This window comes from Homo sapiens, chromosome 6 (assembly GCF_000001405.40).
Source record: "Homo sapiens chromosome 6, GRCh38.p14 Primary Assembly".
NCBI classification, from domain to species: Eukaryota; Metazoa; Chordata; class Mammalia; order Primates; family Hominidae; genus Homo; species Homo sapiens.
The window spans coordinates 44,106,255-44,127,912 of record NC_000006.12 but is presented as its reverse complement, the minus strand read 5'-3'; the positions used below and the strand labels follow the sequence as shown (position 1 = coordinate 44,127,912).

Here is a 21,658-nt window from a genome sequence, read left to right as displayed (position 1 = left end):
GCCGGCGGCGCGTATCTGGACCTCCGGCAGGGGTTGGAGGACTCACATTTGGCTCGGGATGGTGCGGGGTTGGGGGCAGCGCGCGCCACCCCTGGGTCCCGCGGGCCCGGGCACCTCTGGGTCCCGCAGGAGGTTGAAGGGAGGGGACGCGCAGCTGAGTCCAGGTTTTTTCTTTGGGTGGTGGTGGGATCTTCGAAGAAAAGAGCGAGGGCTGGGTAGGGGTCGCGTACTCACCCCCAGGCGCAGACTCGGCTCCGGCTCGGAGCCCCGGGTTGGGGCGGGGCGGGGCTGGGGGAGGGGGAGGGGGAGTCGCTGGGCGGCTCGAGCTCCGGGCTCCTGCGGCGGCCGCGGCAGTGTATGGGGGAGGGGGAGCGGGGGGAGGGAGGGGGAGGGGGCGGAGCCCCGCAGGTCCCGCCCCGCACGCCGGCGCACGCAAGGTGCGCGCGCACTCTCAGATCGCGTCCGCCGGGCTGGGCCTGGCGCGCAGGCGCTAGGAAGAGGCCGCGTGGGGCGAAGGCGGCGCTTGGCTGGTGGGGCCCGCGGCGGGATTTTCCCGGGCGGCGAGAGCGGTATGGTGGGGGGCAGGGGTGGGCGTTAAGTCCTCATTCCCTCCTTCTCCTCTTCCTTTCTCTGCAGTAGGGGAGGCCCACTCCCCGGGGTGAGTGAGGAGAGGCCAGAGTGGGAGGCAGAGCGTCAGTGGGAGGGGTCCCGACGGGGAGGGGGGGGTCCCGACGGGGAGGGGGGTCCCGACGGGGAGGGGAGGCCCCTTACCCGGATCCTCCTCCCTTCCGCTCTCCGTGGGCTGCTTCTGCGACCCCCAAGTCCGTGGCCGGCGCTCACCTGCTTTCCCCGGGTTGCGGCGTCGACTTGGGGAGGGCGGGCTGCGTTCAGCCGTCGCTGGTCACTCCGGAGCGTCTCCTCCGGCTTCTCCGCTTTCCGCGCTCCCCTCCCCTTTCCCAACTTAGGTCTGGAGATGAGTTAGCCAGACGCCTCTGTGGTGTGAGGATTGAGTTTTTGCTTTCACTCTGTCAACGCTGATGAGTGCGCCCTCCCCCAGGCCAGGGGGTTCCCTGGTTTCTTATTTCACCAGAGACTGCATCTACCAGTGATTAAGACTGGAAAGATGAAGGGAGAGACTGAGACTCTTTCTATATATCACCCACACAAATAGATCATAAAGGCACAACGGGCACCAACCTGGTCATTTAATTTCTGGTTCCTGGAGGGGACAAAAAGGAAGTATTGCTTTCCACAGCCGACGATAAATGAACTTTGCCACCGTAAGAGACGGACGGGACTGAATTTATAAAGAGGTTAAAAGGGCATATGACAGACACCTCAGGCTACTTGGGAAACTCTGGGAGTTTGGGAGATAATTAACTCTCAGGGCTGGTGGTGGTGGGGAACTGCCACTGCTGAACAGAAGGACACTGCCCACCTGGGGGGTTTGGATCTTGTAGTTGGTCAGCGTCTCTGCTGTATGCTGGATTTTCAAGAGTTCATTAGTAGCTTGTGGAATGCAACTGTAAGGTTTGATTTATTGCAGTGTTTTTCAAACTGAATCCTATTGGTGAGTTGGAAATCAGTTTAGTAGATCACGGCCACTTGAAATAGAAAATATCAGAGGGTGTTGCACTTAGGGTATTGTTTCTTGACACTTCAGGTGTACACACACGTGTGAGTGTACTAGGAGGTGTTCTACAGTGTGTTTCTGTAGGTCGCAGTGAGAAAAATTTGAAAAGCGTTGTCTCCTGTGCCCTTCTATTTGCCCTCTTGCCTTTCTTTGCCTGAGTTTTCAGTCACTTAAAATTGTCTGAGGATGCAGTTAGCATGCCAGGAATATACAGTAAAGAACAAGGTGGATCTTCTTCACGGAGGTTACTGTGTGAGACGAAAGACAGTTCACTGTTCATCACTGGAAATACTGTACGTGCTACTGAAAAACAAGGATTTTATTGAGGTAAGAAGTTGGTTGGCTTAATTAGGAAGGGCAGTTTTTCAACTGTGAAAGAAAGGAAGATGGAGATGAAGCCCGTTTTTGGTAAAGTGCTTGGTGGGAAGGGTCTTTGTAGGTTTGGATTCTGGGAGTTGTGAAATTGGTGTAATCTGTTGCTTGTGTGGAACAATAAAATTCACTTTGAGGTCAAATAGTATTATAATGGATATCTGAAAAATGGAAGTGGAAGCCATAGTTGTCTGGTTTTTGGATTTCTGAGGATCACTAGAAGGCCTTTTTTTTTTTTTTTTTTTTTTTTTTTGAGACAGTCTCTCTTGCCCAGGCTGGGGAGATCTGGGTGCAGCAGTGCGATCTCAGCTCACTGCAGCTTCTCCTGGGATCTAGCAATTCTTATGCCTCAGCCTCCCGAGTAGCTGGGACTGCAGGCGCGAGCCACCACTCCTGGCTAATTTTTGTATTTTTAGTAGAGATAGGGTTTCACCATGTTGCCCAGGCTGGTCTCCAGCCCCTGACCTCAATCGATCTACGCAACTCAGCCTCTCAAAGTGCTGGGATTACAGGCGTGAGCCACCTTGTCCAGCCAGAAGGCATTTTTTATATGTTTTTATTTTTTACAAAAAGTATAGTTATGAATCTGAGCATGTGGATTCCTGAACTATTTCTGCCTGTGCCTAATTAGGGTCAGCACCTAATCCTCAAGGAGTGTGTGAGCCATCAAGTGACACTTTCCAGGGCAAGCATTTCAGAAAGCCTGACATGAGAATTAAGTGCCTTGTGGAATCCTTGAAGAACAGTGGCCAAAATATTTTATTATTGCTCCTGAATATTAAAGATAAAATGTTTCCCTTGGGGCGGGGTGGATAACAACAACAAAATTTCCCTGGAGTCCACTTTTCAGGTGGTTGGGCACTGAGCATGGTTATTTAGACTCTTCTTAGCTCCTAGTCTTCAGTGTTGCAAGAATTCTTTAAAACCTATTTTGCTCCATTTATGTCTTTGGGATTATCATGCCTGGGCACACCTAAGGTGGATTTTCCTACTGTCAGGTTACTTGGATAGTTCTTAGGGCTGTAGGGGGGGTCTCGAAAAGCAGGTTATGGTTTAGCCTTCTATTTTATAGGCTCATGGTTTGTCTGGGTTGTAGCTTACCCTGGTGTGATTTTACATGTGTATTTACAGTGACAACTAGTATGCAAGAGAAGACTGCAGTTCAGATCTCAGAAATGTTGTTCTGGGTCAGGTAATATGCTGAATATTTAAAAAGGTCATAGTAAAGTAGCTTACCATTCACCAGTGAAACCACTCAGAGTAGGAGAGCCCTCTGTTAAAAACTCAAAAAATCTTTTATGTCTTAGAAAAGAGAGGAAGTAATTTACCATGTCCACTCTAAACTGAAAACACTTTCAGGGCTATGATCTTAAAGAGGCACCTATGGTGCTGCCCTGAGAATCAGGGAACGAGCTTGCTCTTCCTGGCCAGGATCTGGTAAACAAACTATCCTGCAGATCTAGTCTGTACTGGATAATTCAGAGAAGGATTGTCCACATTAAAATGATCCCTTACATGAGTGAAGCTAAAGCACTTCCATTTCCAGACCTCTTTGCTTTTCCCAATATGATCTCTGCTTGACAGAGAGTCGTTGAGACCCAGACAGGTGATTCCAGGGCCACAGACTTGGTGTGAGAGAAGGGGAGGATGGAGTGAAAGAGATATATGCTTTCCATCAGCAGCACCCTCCCACCCCCATTCTTTAACTTTTTCACACTACTCTCCTGCCTATCTGACATCTTAATAAACCTGGAGCCCACCTAAACCTGGCCCAATGGAGGTACTAATAGGAAGGGAATTATGTATATGATTCAGTAGAATTTTACTTTGACTTGTGCAGTTTTTCCTGAGTTTGACCAGATGAAGAATATTACAAATTTATATCTGGATTATAGATGTTTGTACACTTGTGAGGTAGGGATGGGAGGGGGAGCAAAACTGGAGTAGATAAAATATACAAATCTACACATTGAAAAACCATCTTGAATAATTGAGAATTGTCAGATCTATCTAAGTACTACTGCTTACTTTTTTTTTGAGGCAGGGTCTCGCTCTGTCACCCAGGCTGTAGTGTTGTGCTGAAATTATGGCTCACTGCAATCCCCAACCCCTGAGCTCCAGTGTTCCTCCTCCCTCAGCCTCCCAAAGTGGTGTAATTACAGGTGTGAACCACCACGCCCTAATTTAAATACTTTTGCAACAAGGTGGGGCATAAGTTATATAAACAAATATAGGACAAGAACCCTAGACATGTTTTCCCTTTGTGAAATGGGGTTGAGAAATGGGGTTTTCTAAGTGGTAGCTGTGGTGGAAACAGCTGATCATGCTATTGAGGGATACTTTACTTATTGATAGTGCTGCTGTGAGAACTCACACCTTGGCAGACCACTCAAAATCAGCTTTAGCTTTGGTCCGAGGCTGTCCTGAGTGTAGTGCAGATATTTATTGAAGAGATGGCTTTTTGTTTCCTGAGTTTTTTGAAGATTATGTTGCAGCCTTGCCAAAGGAGAAGGTGTACTTGCCCTGCATGTGGAACATTTATTTTATCCATGTAGCTTATTAGTGGCTAAAGCAGCATCTTCACTGTGCAAATATTGTGCAGTGTTTAATAAAAACAGCCTTGGGCTCTGGTCTGGGCCTTGTTGCCTTGTAACCTTGGACGAGTCAATCAACAAATCTTAGCATTTCTGTCTTCATTTCTCCAACTCTGTGGAGCCTGCAGAACTATTTAAAATCCTTAGCAGATTCAGCCCCCTTGCAGACTGTTGGTCTTTCCTGTTTGTCTTTGTTTCCATTGGGTGCTAGGACTGAAATCTTCAAAGAAAGTGATCTGTGTGAAAGTACTTTGAGATTTATAACATGCTATTGTGGCTATTGTGTGAGGTTACAAAACCACGCACACACCAAACTTCCTAAAAGGAAATAGTTGGGCAGCAAAAACAGTAATGAGTCTGTAAGCAACAAATGAAAGTACTTATTGGTCCAGAATGATTGAGGAGAAACCTGAGGTGGGAGGGGTTGTGTTTGCATGACAGGACAGAGGGTCCCAAGAATTCCTTTTTGTTTTTGATTTATTAGAGCTGCCAGGCCTTTGCTTTTCCTACTTTGATTAAGAAGGACATTTATATCCTCACGCTGGCAGAGTTTGTCCTTTTTGTGTCTGGGCTTTCCATTTGATTTCTCAGTCTCTTTTCCCGTCCGTTACATACTAGCAGAACCTCCTTTAAAGGCTCATTTGTGATTGTGCTGAACTTTTTGTTTTCTCCTTTTTCTATCATATCTAAGTACTACTTAGAGGCCATTTTCCTTGAAAGGTCTTTAAAATGTAACCGGCCAGGCACCTAAAGATTGAAATTGTTTAGGTAGAAACAATGTGTAATTATATATAGATCTGTGATACTAATTATATTTTGCTGATCCTCAAAACTTAAAGTAATGGTACTTTCCAGCTTTCCACAAAGCATCAGAGGTACAGGTTCTTTGTGTCTGCCCTTCCAACTCAGAGTAGCTAAAAATGAGCTCTCTGGCAGGGCGCGGTGGCTCATGCCTGTAATCCCAGCACTTTGGGAGGCCGAGGCAGGCGGATCACGAGGTCAGGAGATCGAGACCATCCTGGCTAACACAGTGAAACCCCCGTCTCTACTGAAAATACAAAAAATTAGCTGGGGTTGGTGGCAGGCGCCTGTAGTCCCAGCTACTTGGGAGGCTGAGGCAGGAGAATGGTGTGAACCCGGGAGGCAGAGCTTGCAGTGAGCTGAGATGGCGTCACTGTACTCCAGCCAGGGCGACAGAGCAGGACTCCGTCTCCAAAAAAAAAAGAGGGGGGGGAAGAGCTCTCTGTGCCTATGAGGCTCTCCCAAGTCACTGGGAGCCTGGGTGAAGGGCACAGGAAAAACCACCAACCCCTCTGAAATGGAGCCTCTCTGGAGCTGGAGGTTGAATTATAAATCAGTTCTTTTTTTTTTTTTTTTGAGACAGTCTTACTCTGTTGCCTAGGCTGGAGTGCAGTGGTGTGATCTCGGCTCACTGCAACCTCCACCTCCCAGGTTTAAGAGATTCTCCTGCCTCAGCCGGGCTGTAGCTGGGACTACAGGCACGTGCCACCACGCCCCACTAATTTTTGTATTTTTGGTAGAGACGGGGTTTCACTATGTTGGTCAGGCTGGTCTGAAACTCCTGACCTCAGGGGATCCGCCCGCCTTGGCCTCCCAAAGTGTTGGGATTATAGGCGTAAGCCACTATGCCCAGTCATAAATCAGTTCTGTCCACCTAACAGAGAGTCACTAAGCTGTAGGTGTGCTAGGCACAGTTCTGGGCACTGAGTGTCTGGCACTGAGCAGAGCAAGGGCTGGTCCCTGCTCTCACAGAGCATACATTCCAATGGGATCTGTAGGGCGATGGCAATTCCCCCATATTCCATTGAAATCCATAGTCCTCCCTTGCCTCTACAACTGAAGGGAGATCTTAAAGCAAGATGGAAAATTAGCATGGCTTAGATTGTATGAATTTGTTTTTTCTTTTCCTTCCACCCACCCTCTCTTCCCACCCCCCACCCCAGCTCTTTTTAAGGAGAAGTTGTGATTCATATTCTAAAACAGGAGGGTAATACTTAGTGCTGACCAGGAAGTGGCATGAAATGCCATCTCTGGCGCCAAAGTTTTCCAAATACCTGGCCTCCTCTAAGTGAGAGTGTTGTAGAGAAGGAACTGTCATTGAAGTCAGTCTCCTGTGCACAAGATCCAGAGTGACATTGCTTGTAAAACAACCATTGTATATAGACTAGGTCTGAAGTGATTCAGGGTCTGTGTCCATAGGGTGGATTTATGCTAGGAAATAATATCAGGGTCCATCAGAGTTGCTTTGAAGTAAATTGCTGCCTCCATTGCTCTTCCCTGATCTGAAACAGTTATTTTAGTGGTGGGATCAGGCATTTTCCATAGTAGGCAGTGTAGGCACCAGGCCCAGGAGGTGAGTCCAGGGGGCCTGGAAACAAAGCACGGGCTAATCCTCCATGATTAGCACCATCATTCTCTTACAGCATGTTTGCCTGACATGTCCTGATTCCAAAAATACAGATAAGAGCTCTGCCGTTTCTGGATTTACCTCCGTCAGAGCCATGGGGGACCTGTCTTTCTCCTGGCTACCTCATTTATTTTATTCAACAAGTATTTATTGCACTCCTACTGTTATCAGGACTGGCTGGGGTCTTTTGCTAGGGTGGAAGAGGAGGGTATAACAGTTTGTTTTTTTGGAGGGATAAGGGACATATATACAATAAGTGAATATTTGATTCTTTTGTGCTTTCAAGTTCATAGGAATGCTAACTGCTGGCCATTTGATGTCTGAGTCCTTTGGGTTTAGGTCTAGACGTCAATATCAGATCCACTAAAAAGCTAGTGAAAAGTCACTGAATTGGGAAGTGCTTCCTAGAGACATGAATATATCACTCTTGGGTTTGAGGGCAGTACAGGTAATCCTTACCATCGAAGTCTGTGTGGCTCCTGAATTCCTGTAGCACGTTCAGTTGCCATGTTGTCAGAATATCTGGTTTCTGAATTTTGGATAGTGAGTGGGAAGAAATAGAATGTTAAAGGACATCAGACTTATCTCAAAGTATACAAATTTACTCATTGTGGGTGTTTGGATAGTGAATATTGGTTCAGTGAGTGTTGCACTGGCACAAGGATGTCCCAGTGTTCAGGAGGGGTAGCAATTGATGCTGCCGTTTGACACAAGACTTTGTGGAGGAGATGCTTGTGGAGCTGGGTCACATTTGTCTGGGCAGAGATGAGTGTTGGTTGTGGAGATGGCTTGTGAGCAAGGTGCAGAGAGGAGGCCTGAGTTTGTGTTTGTGCACTGACAGCCTTACAGAGTGTAGGGAGGTGCTTTGTGATGATACCTGAGTCAAGAAAGTTCTGGGAAGCCCTTAAGTGCTTCTGCAGTTCTTGGACTAATGTCAGTGTTCTTGAGGAAGCAGTGCGGTGTTGAGAGGCAGGGTGTTGCACTTCTCGGGAGAGGGAATGTGGGTGGTGCTGGGTTAATCTTGAGGGTTCTGTGGCGTTGTTCAGGACGCTCTTCTCTCTCAAGGAGCCAAGGACCTGCCAGCATCAGATGGGAACAGCTTGGCAGGGATTTGAGTTAACTGCAGCCTGGACCAGAAGGACTCTGCTTTTCAGAAGTTTTGTTTTGTTGTTTTTTGCTAGTTTTTAGTTATTGCTCTGAGTATTGATCTCTTCTTGCCTCCTACACTACAAATTGTCTTCAAAACTTAAAGTGAATAATTTTCACCTGATATGTGTCTACATTTCAGTTGATTCAGCAAGCACTGAATTGGCTGTGAGTAAAATGTGCATGTGACGTCAGTATTCTTTTTTTTTTTTGAGATGGAGTCTCACTGTATTGCCCAGGCTGGAGTGCAGTGGCCCAACCTTGGCTCACTGCAACCTTTGCCTCATGGGTTCAAGTGATTCTCCTGTCTCAGCCTCCTGAGTACCTGGGACTACAGGCGGCCGCCACCATGCCCGGCTTATTTTTGTATTTTTAGTAGAGAAGGGTTTCACCATGTTGGCCAGGCTGGTCTCAAACTCCTGACCTTGGCCTCAAGTGATCCGCCTGCCTTGGCCTCCCAAAGTGCTGGGATTACAGGCATGAGCCACCGCGCCCAGCTGACGTCAGTATTCTTGATGGAACAAGAATGATTTAATAGTTGTAAAATATTAATATTTAAATTAAAGTTGCCATGTTTACTCTGTTGAGTAAGAGCATGGGTTTAGGAAGCCCACAACTGGGGTTCATATTTCAGCCTAGTCATTCCTAGCCATGTGACCTTGGGCAAGTTATTTAACCTCTCTGGGCTTTATTTCCTTGTGTATAACAATGAGGCTAATAATAATTGTACCCATTTCATAGGGTTTTTTGAGGTTTATTTTATTTATTTATTTTTGAGACGGAGTTTTGCCCTTGTTGCCCAGGCTGGAGTGCAATGATGCGATCTCGGCTCACCGCAACTTCCACCTCCTGGATTCAAGCGATTCTCCTGCCTCAGCTTCCTGAGTAGCTGGGATTACAGACATGTGCCACCACGCCTGGCTAATTTTGTATTTTTAGTAGAGACAGGGTTTCTCCATGTTAGTCAGACTGACCTCAAACTCCCGACCTCAGGTGATCTGCCCACCTCGGCCTCCCAAAGTGCTGGGATTACAGGCGTGAGCCACCGTGCCCGGCCATGAGGTTTAAATGAGATAGTAATGTAAGACACTTAGCCTGCTGTGTGACACATTGTAACCATTTGATAAGTGTTCATAAATAAAGAAACAGAAAGAGGCCAAATGACCCTTAAAGCTGCTTGACACCCAGGGCTCTCCTGTGAAATGAGCTTTGGTATAGCAGAGCAAGGCTGCAGAGTGCGGTTGGAACACTCTTGGACTGAACCTGGATCCAGTTCTGTTTCTGCCCTTGACTAATTGTGGGACTCTACACAAGTCACTTAATCTGCCTGTATATCAATTTTCTAATCTTTAAAATGATATATGACATCATGATGATGATAGCTAATAGGTAATGAGTGCCAGGCACTGTGCTAAGTGCTTTGCATGGCTTATCTAATTGAATCCTCATAACTACCTTGGGGGCAGATACTATTAGTATCCCTGTGTTACAGATGGTAAACCAAAGCTCAACAGTTTGGTTACTTGTCCAGGGTCATCTCACCAGTAAAAGTAAAGCTAGTCTCATTTGGTAGTCTGTGATTCTCTGTGTGTCAGATGTTAGTAGTTGCATACATTAGCTGCCTTCTTTTGCATTTGATTTTTCTGATCATAATTACATTTTGGCTGATGCTTCATGGGTTGTCTTAAGGAAAACATTTGGGAGTAAGTTTGGGATTTGAGGCTAAATTGTAGTTAATAAGCATTTAAAGGCCAGGTGTGGTGGGTGGCTCACACCCATAATCCCAGCACTTTGCGGGGCTGAGGCGGGAGGATTGCATGAACTCAGGAGTTCAAGGCCAGCCTGGGCAACATAGTGAGACCATCATCTCTACAAAAAAAAAAAAAAAAAAAAAAAAAACACAAAAAATTAGCCAGGCGTCCTGGTGCATGTCTGTGGTCCTGACTACTTGGGAGGCTGAGGTGGGAGGATCACCTGAGCTTGGGGAGTTCGGGACTGCAGTGAGCTGCAGTTGCACCACTACATTCCAGCATGGGTGACAGAGCAAGACTTGTCTCAAGGAAAGAAAAAAAAGTATGGAGTGTCTAGGTATTCCTGGGGAGGAGTGGATTCCCCTGCCCCACCCTAACATTCTTATTAAATAAAATCTTATCTGAGGTGGTTTGAACTTGTGCATAGCAAAGCTGTGTGTAAATACTACAGTGTAGAGGCTTTTCTCGGCAGACCTCTTGAATGGGCACCTCTGCTGCCAAACGTTTGGGTGGAAAAACAGGTGTGTTTTGCAGCTGGCTACAGGCCTTTCTGAAGCATGCTCTGAAGTGATGTTCAGGTGTTTCAGGGCACTGGCAGCCTCCATATTTGTTAGTGCTAGGGAGCAACAGGGTTGAGATTCTGAAAACTGGAGTCACAAGTCTTGGGTTGGTGTTTGCTCTTTTAGCTAACTCTTCAAGTTGGTTTCCCAAAGCCCACTTTCAGCTGTAGTATGGTGTAGGTCAGTTTTCCATGTTACAGTGTTTGGGAGACTGACCCAAATAAAGACTTTGGTCTTTGACTTGGCAAGAGCAGCCTTTGGCTTTGCTTTGCTGGCCTTGAGCTGTACAGGTGTTCTGGCCTTTACATTTGGGGGAAAGGTGATGTAGTGATAGACAACTTGGGTGGCTGCTTAGATAATTTACTTTCTTTTAGGGAGTTAAAGTGCTGGTTTCAGAAGGCATATGAATATCAAAAAGGGCAATAGTGTGCAGTTTTTCCTCTATGGAGGACTCGAGAAGAAGTCCCTGGCTGGGTTTATAACCAAGGGCTCATATTTTCCTCCTGCCTGTGGAAGTGATATAATAAGGAAGGCATTCTCCGTGCTGTTGTATTTTTTTATAGCAGAAGCTGTTGTGGGCCATTCTCCCTCTCCAACCCCAGAGTTAGAATGTGAATCAGCAAAATCGGAGCTACAGCTCTGTCTAATCATCTGTGTATCCTTTAACCACTAAGATTTATATTTTGTGACTAATGATCTTGTGCTGGAAGTGCCATCTCCCACACAAGTCCCCAAAGAAAACTGGCTTTAAGGGCTCTGACTTAGAAACCAATTTTTCCCCCTCTCGTTTTTCCTGCAGGATCTATCTTGGGATCCCATGGCTTTCTTTACTGGGCTCTGGGGCCCCTTCACCTGTGTAAGCAGAGTGCTGAGCCATCACTGTTTCAGGTAACTTTTCCCATTAAGTTCTTAAAACTGTGTCTTTGTGTAAGCTTCCTATCAGGGCTGGGTATTACGGTGACTAGAACAGGAGTAAAAACTCAGGGAGGTGGGCATGGGGTTGGGGAAAGCTAAAGTGATCAGGCTGAGCTGGCCTGGTTGGTCTGGTCACAGGATGGGGGATAGGTAAAGAGGTGATGTTGCTGTTAGAAGTGTGATGGGGAATGGCATATGGCGGAAGCTTTTACTCTTCAGTCCTTGCAAGACTCTTACAGTGAATCTGACATCTCTCAACCCTATCATTCCCCTAGAGCATTAAAATCCTTTTAAAAACGGAATTTTTTTAATTACAAAAATAATACATGCTTATTACCAAGAACTTGAGCATGATAGAAGTGTGACACCCTCCCCTCCTTGTAGATGCTAAGCCAGGAGAGCACAGGAGGCACGCTTGTTGGCAGACATGCCTCCTGGCCCCGTCATGCCCTCATCCCACAGGCATTTCCTGAGCACCGCACCTGGGGTTGGCCATACAGAGATGAAAGAGAGTTGCTTTCTGTCCTGAAAGAATTCTCACTGTCAGCCACAGGAGCAAACTTGAAAATAAGTAACTCTAAGAAAATGTGATAGAATATTATAATAGAGGATTGTACAGTGCTTTGGAAGGCGTCATATAGGAGCTGCTAGTGGAGGAAGAGGAGGAGAAAGAGTGGAGGCAGTCTTCTCAAAAGGGAGATGGGGGCAGATCCTGTCTAGGCCTCCAGGGAGAATTGGGAGGCAGGGTGTGCTTGGGGAAGTGGTTCCTGGTTCTCCTGCCCAGAGTGGTAGGATGTGTAGCCTTAGAAGGTAGGTAAATTGGGACAAGGTTGTTGACAGTGTAGATGGTGGGGAGTAGCATCACTTTTATATTCTAAAGAGAGCTCTTTGTTGGCAAAGTGAAGTGCAATGGGAACCAACTAGGACACTAATGTCACAGTCTTGGTGTAGGAGAGTGAGCTGCTAAATGAAGGAAGTTGTTGGCGGGATTGGAGAGAAAGGACATAGGTGCTTAGGGGGTGATATTAACAGGACTTGGTGGCCAGTTCATGTTGGTGGAGAGAGGTTTATGGCTTGGCTTCTGGTACTGCTGGAGAAGCCATCGTCTAGATAAGTGTAGCAGCAGGCGGAGGTTTGCAAGGGGAGGCAGTGAGATGAGTTTGGGACCTACTGAGTTTGCAGTATCTATAGAGCATGTTGTAGGGAGTTGAGGAGAGTGGAAATATATAGAACTAGAATATAGAAGAGAGGCGGGGCTGGAGATGGAATTTACTAGTTGGCAGCAATGCTAATGGGTAAGATTGCCCAGAGTAGGCATAAAAAACGAGAGAAGAGGTCCTAGGATTACCCTGCGGAAACACCAGCATCAGGTGCTAGCATCAGGAAAATAGGAATCCCACTGTAATCAGCTTGCTTAATAATACCTTGTCTGCCTTCAATAAGTACTCTCTAAAATTTTTTTTTCTAATGAGAAAAAATGTATTAAAACAGAAGATTGTTACCTTGACTTATTACCAGTTTCTGGTATGTTGTGTCAGAGAATTCCCTTAGTAAACTTACCCATATCTTCTAGTTCCCAGCAACATGTAAATAAGAAAATTAGGGGACCGGGCGCGGTGGCTCACGCCTGTAATCTCAGCCCTTTGGGAGGCCGAGGCGGGCGGATCATGAGGTCAGGAGATCGAGACCATCCTGGCTAACACGGTGAAACCCTGTCTCTACTAAAAAATACAAAAAATTAGCTGGGCATGGCAGCAGGCGCATGTATTCCTAGCTACTTGGGAGGCTGAGGCAGGAGAATGGTGTGAACCCGGGAGGTGGAGCTTGCAGTGAGCTGAGATGGCGCCACCGCACTCTAGCCTGGGCGACAGAGCGAGACTCCGTCTCAAAAAAAAAGAAAATTAGGGAATGGTGTATTCTGGGGAAGCAGGTTTTTCAGGATAGGCAGTGGGTGAGGCCTAGCCCATAAGGGATTCCTTTAAGTCCTTAGAGTCCTTTTGGAAAGCAAAGGCTTTAAGTTATGGCTGCTGTGAAGTTCATTGTCACAGAAAAATTGGGTTCTCTTTAAAACCCATCCAAATTGAGACCTTGACACAACAGCAGAAGCTCTCAATTGTGAGGAAACTGTTGTGGGTACAGATAAGTCTTCACAAAGTCCTGACTTTCTGTTGCTGCTCCTGGACAGCACTCTGCTCTGTGTGTGTTGCTGACATGTACATTCTCCCTAGCCTTGACCTCTCAGAGGCCTGTGCACCCTGACCATAAGAGATACAGACTGCAGACTTTTTTTTTTCCTCCCACCAGCACCACTGGGAGTCTGAGTGCGATTCAGAAGATGACGCGGGTACGAGTGGTGGACAACAGTGCCCTGGGGAACAGCCCATACCATCGGGCTCCTCGCTGCATCCATGTCTATAAGAAGAATGGAGTGGGCAAGGTGGGCGACCAGATACTACTGGCCATCAAGGGACAGAAGAAAAAGGCGCTCATTGTGGGGCACTGCATGCCTGGCCCCCGAATGACCCCCAGATTCGACTCCAACAACGTGGTCCTCATTGAGGACAACGGGAACCCTGTGGGGACACGAATTAAGACACCCATCCCCACCAGCCTGCGCAAGCGGGAAGGCGAGTATTCCAAGGTGCTGGCCATTGCTCAGAACTTTGTGTGAGTTGAGCCCAGGCCTCTGGTTGCAGGACTCGTGAATGGAGCAGTTCTGAGAACCACCCTTTTGCTAAGGGAGCTTGGGAGCCACATGGCTGCTCCCTTCACACTGGGTAACAGTGTAGTATCCTGTGAGAGAATAAATGTATTCATTTATGTGTTTTTCCAGAGCTTTCTGGGATGTGGGAAAATAAATTACACTGAAGCAGTTGAAAGGTGGCTTACCCGAGTCTGGCCACACGGGGTAGCATTCTTTACATGGAGCAGCCTTGGTGCCAGGGTCTGAGCCCTTGCTTTTCTGGTTTGGACCCTATAAGTTCATCCAGGACTGTCAGGCCCTGGAAAACTGAGGTACACACCAAATGCCAATTTATAAATGTACCATGGCTCTAACCAAAAGATATTTGTTTTTATTTTTCTCATCCAAAATATCCTCTTCCTGTATTAGTGGGCTTGAGGCTTTAAATGGTTATAAAGATGACCGGGTTAGCATGGAATAAGAGCAGAGAGGCTGATTTAATCTAGTGAACATTTCTTTTAGGCAGCAGTAAAGCCCAGACAGTAATCCTTTCTTTATTCTCGATAGTCTGCCGGAACACTCCTCTGTGCCCAGTAGCAGAGCTTCCTTCCTGGACTGCTGGAGAAATGGATACATTCTTAAATTTTGCAGATGACATAATCTTGGGCCTGTGCAGGTGATTCAGTGACAGTTATCTTTCGTTCATCTGTTGGTCTGCATGGGAAGATTTAGAGGCTCCCTTAGTTTCTTTAGTGGAACCTCATCAACTTATTTGTAAATTCTTTTTTTTTTTTTTTTTTTCGTTTTTGAGACGGAGTCTCGCTCTGTCACCCAGGCTGGAGTGCAGTGGCACGATCTTGGCTCACTGCAACCTCCGCCTCCCGGGTTCAAGCAATTCTCCTGCCTCAGCCTCCTGAGTAGCTGGGATTACAGGTATGCAGCACCACACCCGGCTAATTTTTGTATTTTTAGTAGAGACAGGGTTTCACCATGTTGGTTAGGCTGTTCTTGAACTCCTGACCTTGTGATCCACCTGCCTGGGCTTCCCAAAGTGCTGGGATTACAGGTGTGACCCACTATGCCCGGCCCTTTTTTATTTATTTATTTAGAATACCTTAGGTAGTTAACTCATTAAATGAGTAACTAATCACAGTGGCTTCTGAGAGTCAGAGTAGGATAATAGTTAGGAACACAGGCTCTTGTAGCCAGACTGTAAGGGTTTGAATCCTGACTCTACCACTTAATGACTGTAGGCAAATTATTTTACTTTTCTGTGGCTCAGTTTCCTTACCTGTAAAAGGGGGATGTAATAATGGTCCTTCTTGATAGAATTGATGTGAAGATTAAATGAGTTTGTACCTGTAAGTGCTTAGAATGATAACCTGGCAATAATAAGCACTCAGGTTGGGCATGGTGGCCCATGCTTGTAGTCTCAGCTCCTCAGGAAGCTGAATTAGGAGGAGCACTTGAGCCCAAGAGTTGAATCCAGCCTTAGCAACATGGCAAGACCTGTCTCTTTAAAAAAAAAAAAAAACACAAAACACTCAATAGATACTTTTAGAAATAGGAATTAGCTATTTCCTATTGTCACGACTGCATGGGTCAGCACTGAGAAAACAAAGGTGAGTAAAAGCAGGTGCGGCCCCTGCCTTCCTGGAGCTTATAGAGTCCCAGGGGAAACTAACATGAATCAATTCCTCAAACAAGTGCAAAGTCCCAAGTGTAGCAAGGGTCTGTGATAAAGGAGCTAAGAGTTTTTCAATGGGATCAGAGGCAGCTCCCTGAGGAAGGATTGCATCAGCTGCAGTCCGAATAGGTACAGTGATAGAAGTCAGTAGTGGTTACCTGGTGGGTAGGGAAGGTGTAGACTGGAAAGGGGAAAGAGGGAAACTTCTGGGTCTCAGGAATGTTCTAAATCTAGATCTGTGTGGGAGTTCCATGAAGATAGACATCTGTAAATACTTACTGAGCTGTATACTTTAGTGCACTTCACTCACAGTGAAATAAATGAATAGGCATTAGCTAGGTGAGAGAAGAGGAGGAGATGTTGCTGGTAGAAGGAAGGGCATGTGCACAAACCCTGTGACAGGAGGGAATGGGATAAATGCCAGGTCTAGAAGAAAAAGCCAGTGTGGCTGGAGCCACAAGAGGGAACATGGTGTGGGTTGAAGCCAAAAGAGGAGTGGGGCCTTACGAGCCCTCGGAAGATTTTCCTCATACTGGGGGCACTGGGATGTTGTTGGAGAGTAATTTAGCAAGTGGGATAAAGCTGGTGGGAGGGGAGACATGGTTAGATTTGCTCTGCAGAGAGCTCCTCAGGGAGGCCAGAATGGGTGAGTGTGTGCTTTGCAATAGACTATATGCGAGGTGATAATATGGACCAGGATGGTGGTGGAGGGCAGTGGGCATCTTTAGGAGGTGGAGTTGACTTGGTAATGGGTTAGTAATGGGGAATACTAATGGGGAAAGGCCAGGGATGGGTCTGAGGTTTCCGGCTTCTATGCCTGGATGGTTGGTTGTGTTGAACTTGGAGCTAGGCTGGAGGATTAGGGAGGAAGAGCAGTTGTGGGCAAGCTGAATGGAGGTGCCTTTGAGACATTGAAGAGATGTCGAGTAGGTAGCTGGATATAAATCTCTTAAATTGGAATAACACTGAGGACACTGAGTTTCAGAGGTAAGAGGTGATTTCTCAAGGTTCTACAGTTATGAAGTGGTAAAGCTGGTCTCAGAGCTGGATCCTGTGACTTCCAACCCAGGGTCCTCCCACAACATCATTGGGTCTTCCTTTCGTAATTGATGAGTCTACTCCATCTTGACCTGATTCTTACTAGCTGTGATTCTAGAGGCTGATGTTCTGATTTTCCTGAGTTCTGTGGGCACACCTTGGAGTCCGTTGCCCACTGAACGTTGACTGCAATGAGGCAGAGGCTCTTAGTTTTACATCTTCCATTGGAGGAGCACATCGCTCCCCAGGGCTCCTCTGACTAAGCCTGATTCAAGGTACTCTGGGTATTTTAGGAGCTAATATCCTTTCCTTCTGGCCCTCTGGAAGGACATGCTCTGCTGCAGTGGTTGGATGTGGCCAAGGAGGAGGAATCATCGAAACCAGGGCCTGCTTTGCCAGTGGTGGTTCTCTCCAGTGGCAGGAGCTGGTGCTCAGCAGGTTCTGAATGTCCCTGCTTTCTGTGCTACTTCCTAAAGGCTGTGGGAGGTAGAGAACCCTGGCCTGAGGCAAAGGGAGGGTGGAATTGTTCTTAGCCTGGCACCACTTGCTCAAGGGCTGGACCTTTGCTCTCACTGGGGCAGCTTGACCCAAGCTGCCTTCTGGCTTCTCAGGTGGCTTGCTTTCTGGGGTCAGCCTCACTTCTTCCTCTGCCCTTAGTCAGCAGGAAGTGTCTTCCTTTCACGTGCTTGCAGGGTGCTGCCTCCCCTCACCTGCCTCCCTGCTGTTGAGGTTCACCAGAGTCATTCAGATGACTCTCCTCTGTCCTCGCTGTCCCCTCCTCTGGTCTTCATGGACTTAAACCCTCTCCCCAAGGTGTTCTGTGCTGACCGCTGGAAGGCTGTGGTTTCAACAAAGACTGTGGCCAGGGCCTGTGACGCAGGCCCTCGCAGCACAGCCCAGAATAGCCTCGGCTTTGCTGCTTTTCCAGCTGCCCTATCACTTTGCAGGCTGGAATCTAATTTGCTGTCCACCCTCTCCACCCCAGTCTCTCAGCCAGTGCTGCTTTCTTTGCCCATAAAATATTTATAATCACAGATTATGTTTCCCTGTGAATATAAACTTGCTTTTGTTGTTTTTCCCCTTCTGTGCCCTTAAGAATCTGCCCCTGACAGGCCAAAGGGCTTTATTCTCTGGGTTCATGGACTTCATCACACTTTCTTTGCTGAAGTGGCTAGCTCCGCTCATGATCCTACTCCCTCTGCTAGATAACTGCTGAAGAAATGTGAGGAAAGAGCTCTAGGTTAGTTACTGTAGTCAGAGACCTGGGTTCCAGATGGAACCCTGCTGCTAACTAGCCACAGCCTCTGGAGGAGTTGGGAGCTTATTGCTTGAGGGCTTGGTGCTCAGGACCTCTGGCCAGTGGGTGTGACTCCTAAGGACCAGCCACATTGAGGGATGTGCTCTTGGCTGTTGATGAGGTGAGGGGGACCTGACCAAAGCATGTGCAGAGAGGCCTTGCCACCATCGGCACTCCTGAAGCTAGTCATCTCTGGCACAGATGTCCAGTCCGCTTTCTGTGTGCCTTTGGGAAGTAGCACAGAAAGCAGGGAAATTAAGAGCCACTAAGTACCAGCTGCTGCAGCTGAGGAGAAGCACTCACTACTGAGTTTCTCCCCTGAAATTCTCAAGCCCAGCCTTGCACTTAGGAGGGCAGCAGCCACCGTGAGGCAGAATTCACTGGAGGCGTGCCTCCTCCTGTGTCAAGAGTGTGGAGGAGGGCCAGGGCCGGGGTCAATCCGGGGGTGAGATCCTACTGTGCAGGTGGGAGCCCAAGGCCGTTCCGCTCCAACCTCCCCGTGCGCAGCCTCCTCAGTGTCCTTGCTCGGGCCTCTCATTGCCTTTCTTGGCCTCTTCTCATGGTCTTTCATTTTCTTTCTCAGTGGCTGAGAAATCTTGTTTTTGACAAAAATTGTATGATACTGGACTCAAATGCTTAACTGAAATTCGAATCTGTACCAGCAGCTGCATGTCTTTTCTTCCTCTAATTTTGTAATTCATACTTAAAATCATGGGACTTCTGTTTCATTCTTTCCCACCGGGAGAATGGTAACGGATCACAATTAAGTTCTTTCCAGCATTTTCGACACCTTCTTGCTGAATTATTTTGCCAAATATTAGTAATTTTCTGAATTATTTGGGCTTCCTGGGCTGAAAGTGGTGATGAGTTTGCTTCTCAACTTTCAGTATAAAGATGGTGATTCCCAGCTAGATTTGGGAACAGTAATCTGTTGTCATTTGCTTGATATTATGGCAGGCTGTTTCATAAGACATGCTGCAGGCATTTTTTAAATGAAAATTAAACTTATTTTATTTTGGTAGTTTCACAAGAACTCTTGAATAATTGTGATACCTTTGGATATTATGAAACCTTGATTGGCAACTGATTTGAGGCCAAGTGTTTACATGCTCAGTAGAGACAGTTCTTGGCCGATCTTGACTGATGATCCAGTGTGTGATCACAGCTGCTCTCCCTGCTCCCCACTGAGCTCCCTGTTGATTGGCACCACTTCTCAGGGGGCTGCCCAGCACAGGAAGAGGAGAGAAAGAGAGACCTTTGGGTGCTGGCCTTCTCAAGGGATACTATACCTGGCCTCCAGTGGGTTTCCCAGGCAGGGAGTGGGCTGTGCTGCCCCATCCCCACAGGCTAACCCAGCGCCCTTCCTGGCTGGCCATGGCTGATGTCTGCAAAGAGGCAGGTACACATGGGTCAGGGAGCAGGGCTTTCATTTGTCCGTGTGTCTACTAGCATCCTGTCAACCAACTGCATTAACTCATCAGTTACACTGCCAGGTCTGGTAAAAGGTTTGCAGGTAAAGAAGGATGAAATCCTTGTCTGAAATTAGGTTTCAAGGTTATCTCTGGATTTTGTTTCTCCAGGCTGGGTCCCCATAATTGAGGGCAAGGCTTTGTTGGAGTTAACTCACCTATAGCTTCAGAACAGTTTATTTCAAAACAAAGCTGAAGTGGATTCCCACCATTGTGGTTTAGACCATTCATGATGACCATGTCGACTTGGGGAGCTGAGGAGCCAACCACATTTCACATATGAGAGTAACAGATTTGGGACTAGAACTTGAGTTTTCTCATGCCCAGTCCAGCTCTTTTCACTGCATCTAACTGTGACATAAGACACCGTTTCACTCTGTTGCCCAGGCTGGAGTGCAATGGCGTGATCTTAGGTCACTGTAACCTCCACCTCCCAGGTTCAAGTGATTCTCCTGCCTCAGCCTCCCAAGTAGTTGGGATTACAGGCGCCCACCACCATGCCCAGCTAATTTTTGTGTTATTAGTAGAGATGGGGTTTCTTTTTTTTTTTTTTGAGATGGAGTTTTGCTCTTTCGCCCAGGCTGGAGTGCAGTGGCACTATCTTGGCTCACTGCAAGCTCCGCCTCCCAGGTTCACACCATTCTCCTGCCTCAGCCTCCTGAGTAGCTGGGACTACAGGTGCTCGTCACCACGCCCAGCTAATTTTTTGTGTTTTTTTAGTAGAGACGGGGTTTCACCGTGTTAGCCAGGATGGTCTCGATCTCCTGACCTTGTGATCCACCCGCCTCGGCCTCCCAAAGTGCTGGGATTACAGGCGTGAGCCACCGTGCCTGGCTGAGATGGGGTTTCAACATGTTGGTCAGGCTGGTCTCAAACTCCTGATCTCAAGTGATCTGCCTACCTTGGCCTCCCAAAATGCTGGGATTACAGGCGTGAGCCACCATGCCTGGCCCGAAAAATACTTTTGAATGGGGCCATACCTGTCCCGCCTGAGGGGCAGGAAGCAGCATTGCTTGTGAGGAGTTGAGAGAATTTCAGCTGCGCTGAGGAGCAGGACTTCCCAAGGCATGTGGACCAGGTGGTTGGAGTATGTGGTGCTGATGGGTCAGAGGGAGGCAGGATGTTTGTGAGCTGTGGTCTGAAACCTCTCCGACCCCTGCATTCCTCACTGGGTCTGAAAGCTTCAGAGCCCACCTCACTGCTTTTTCTTCTGAGTAGGTGCTTCCTCACTGGGATCCATGTGATTTCTGAACCCCCCTGGCAGACCTCTACCTCTATGCAGCACTTTCCAGTTTGCAGTGCCTTCACCTTTTAGTCCTAGAAAGTTTCTTCCAGCCTAGAACTTCTGTGACTCCAGGCCTTGGTGACAACTCTGAGTAGTAGGTAGGGCTGGTGTCCCTGTTTTAAAGATAGGAAACAGTAAGTAAGTGGTAGAGTTGGGCCAGTGTTCTCCTTCCTCTGTGGGGCCCAGGCTGAGCCCTGTTGGTCCTCAGCATAGCACTTCTTACAGCACTTTGAAACTGGGCAAGCCCATGGGCTCAGGAGCAGTCTCTGTCTTGTTCATAGTTCTATCGCTGATGCTTAGTAGATGCACAAAAATATGAGAGCTGAAAAGTTAAAATTTGTATTCTCAATTTAGGAGTCTGCATATAGACATCTAGTATAGGGGTTGGTAAAAATTAAGACATTATGGAGTGTCTACAAGGACCCATGGTGGACAGAGTTGCCTGTCTCCACATAGATCCTTATCCCAAGGGCTTCACCCACACTGGCCAGATGCCCAGTGTTTTCTGTTTCCCCATTAAACTCCAGTTTATGACTCCAGTTTAAGATATTCTATGATGTCTATAACTGCTTAAGCTGGCACGTATTTTTACTCTTCATGTTTAGGGGGAAAAAAAAGGCTGTACAAGAGATAAGGCAGTGGTTCTCAGCTGGGGACATTTGGCAATGTCTGGAGATAGTGTTGGTTGTCACAACTGGGGGCAGCATCTAGTGGGTAGAGTCCAGGGATGCTGCTGGCCATGCTACAATGTGCAGGACTGCCCGCACAACAAAGAACTCCCTGGCCCCAAGGGTTGACAG

At 47.4% G+C, this 21,658-nt stretch overlaps 2 protein-coding genes across 28 annotated transcripts in view, besides 9 other annotated features; one reads left to right on the top strand and one right to left on the bottom strand.

Annotated features, from left to right (window-relative positions):
- TMEM63B (transmembrane protein 63B) overlaps positions 1 to 1,280 on the bottom strand; it is a 28,887-nt gene extending 27,607 nt beyond the window's left edge. For 6 of the 22 annotated variants that reach the window (XM_047418969.1, XM_047418976.1, XM_006715135.2 and 3 more), the window contains exon 1: positions 235 to 359. The gene's annotated coding sequence lies outside the window, so the exon portion shown is untranslated. Of the gene's footprint in view, positions 1 to 46; positions 360 to 771; positions 1,002 to 1,197 lie in introns of those variants that run through there. The other 16 variants (XM_047418971.1, XM_047418977.1, XM_047418980.1 and 13 more) reach the window with 6 other exon arrangements.
- Positions 19 to 128: a silencer, noted in NCBI's record as "silent region_17253". NCBI's record gives its function as "represses an Ori minimal core promoter by ATAC-STARR-seq in GM12878 lymphoblastoid cells {active_cell/tissue: GM12878}" and the evidence as "EXISTENCE:reporter gene assay evidence [ECO:0000049][PMID:35858748]".
- Positions 169 to 568: a silencer, noted in NCBI's record as "silent region_17252". NCBI's record gives its function as "represses an Ori minimal core promoter by ATAC-STARR-seq in GM12878 lymphoblastoid cells {active_cell/tissue: GM12878}" and the evidence as "EXISTENCE:reporter gene assay evidence [ECO:0000049][PMID:35858748]".
- MRPL14 (mitochondrial ribosomal protein L14) lies at positions 461 to 14,462 on the top strand. Of its 6 annotated transcripts, none has more exons than NM_001318767.2 (3): positions 461 to 530; positions 11,284 to 11,372; positions 13,704 to 14,462. In NM_001318767.2, exons 2-3 carry the CDS (start codon positions 11,302 to 11,304, stop codon positions 14,068 to 14,070), a joined length of 438 nt encoding a protein of 145 aa, NP_001305696.1. In that variant the 5' UTR covers positions 461 to 530; positions 11,284 to 11,301; the 3' UTR covers positions 14,071 to 14,462. The 6 variants fall into 6 exon arrangements, with proteins under 6 accessions (NP_001305696.1, NP_115487.2, NP_001305700.1 ...); NM_032111.4 differs by having other exon boundaries at positions 461 to 569; NM_001318768.2 differs by lacking the exon at positions 461 to 530 and adding an exon at positions 605 to 658.
- Positions 589 to 638: a silencer, noted in NCBI's record as "silent region_17251". NCBI's record gives its function as "represses an Ori minimal core promoter by ATAC-STARR-seq in GM12878 lymphoblastoid cells {active_cell/tissue: GM12878}" and the evidence as "EXISTENCE:reporter gene assay evidence [ECO:0000049][PMID:35858748]".
- Positions 669 to 728: a silencer, noted in NCBI's record as "silent region_17250". NCBI's record gives its function as "represses an Ori minimal core promoter by ATAC-STARR-seq in GM12878 lymphoblastoid cells {active_cell/tissue: GM12878}" and the evidence as "EXISTENCE:reporter gene assay evidence [ECO:0000049][PMID:35858748]".
- Positions 7,901 to 8,070: an enhancer, noted in NCBI's record as "experimental_91840 CRE fragment used in MPRA reporter constructs". NCBI's record gives its function as "activates a minimal promoter by MPRAs in K562 erythroleukemia cells, with activity observed for both the introgressed and non-introgressed 6:44087665 variant alleles {active_cell/tissue: K562}" and the evidence as "EXISTENCE:reporter gene assay evidence [ECO:0000049][PMID:34662402]".
- Positions 10,538 to 10,707: an enhancer, noted in NCBI's record as "experimental_91835 CRE fragment used in MPRA reporter constructs". NCBI's record gives its function as "activates a minimal promoter by MPRAs in K562 erythroleukemia cells, with activity observed for both the introgressed and non-introgressed 6:44085028 variant alleles {active_cell/tissue: K562}" and the evidence as "EXISTENCE:reporter gene assay evidence [ECO:0000049][PMID:34662402]".
- Positions 17,609 to 17,778: an enhancer, noted in NCBI's record as "experimental_91827 CRE fragment used in MPRA reporter constructs". NCBI's record gives its function as "activates a minimal promoter by MPRAs in K562 erythroleukemia cells, with activity observed for both the introgressed and non-introgressed 6:44077957 variant alleles {active_cell/tissue: K562}" and the evidence as "EXISTENCE:reporter gene assay evidence [ECO:0000049][PMID:34662402]".
- Positions 20,000 to 20,499: an enhancer, noted in NCBI's record as "H3K4me1 hESC enhancer chr6:44075151-44075650 (GRCh37/hg19 assembly coordinates)". NCBI's record gives its function as "activates a minimal SCP1, AML or CMV promoter by ChIP-STARR-seq in primed H9 embryonic stem cells {active_cell/tissue: H9 hESC(primed)}" and the evidence as "EXISTENCE:reporter gene assay evidence [ECO:0000049][PMID:30033119]".
- Positions 21,337 to 21,506: an enhancer, noted in NCBI's record as "experimental_91811 CRE fragment used in MPRA reporter constructs". NCBI's record gives its function as "activates a minimal promoter by MPRAs in K562 erythroleukemia cells, with activity observed for the introgressed 6:44074229 variant allele {active_cell/tissue: K562}" and the evidence as "EXISTENCE:reporter gene assay evidence [ECO:0000049][PMID:34662402]".

Bases quoted from the DNA above. Each gene is read 5' to 3' on its own strand.
- MRPL14 (NM_001318770.2), top strand. From the start codon at position 1,820: ATGCAGTTAGCATGCCAGGAATATACAGTAAAGAACAAGGTGGATCTT. The intron at 1,961-11,283 runs GTAAGAAGTTGG...TTTTTCCTGCAG, and splicing joins AAAACAAGGATTTTATTGAG to GATCTATCTTGGGATCCCAT. The intron at 11,373-13,703 runs GTAACTTTTCCC...TCCTCCCACCAG, and splicing joins CTGAGCCATCACTGTTTCAG to CACCACTGGGAGTCTGAGTG.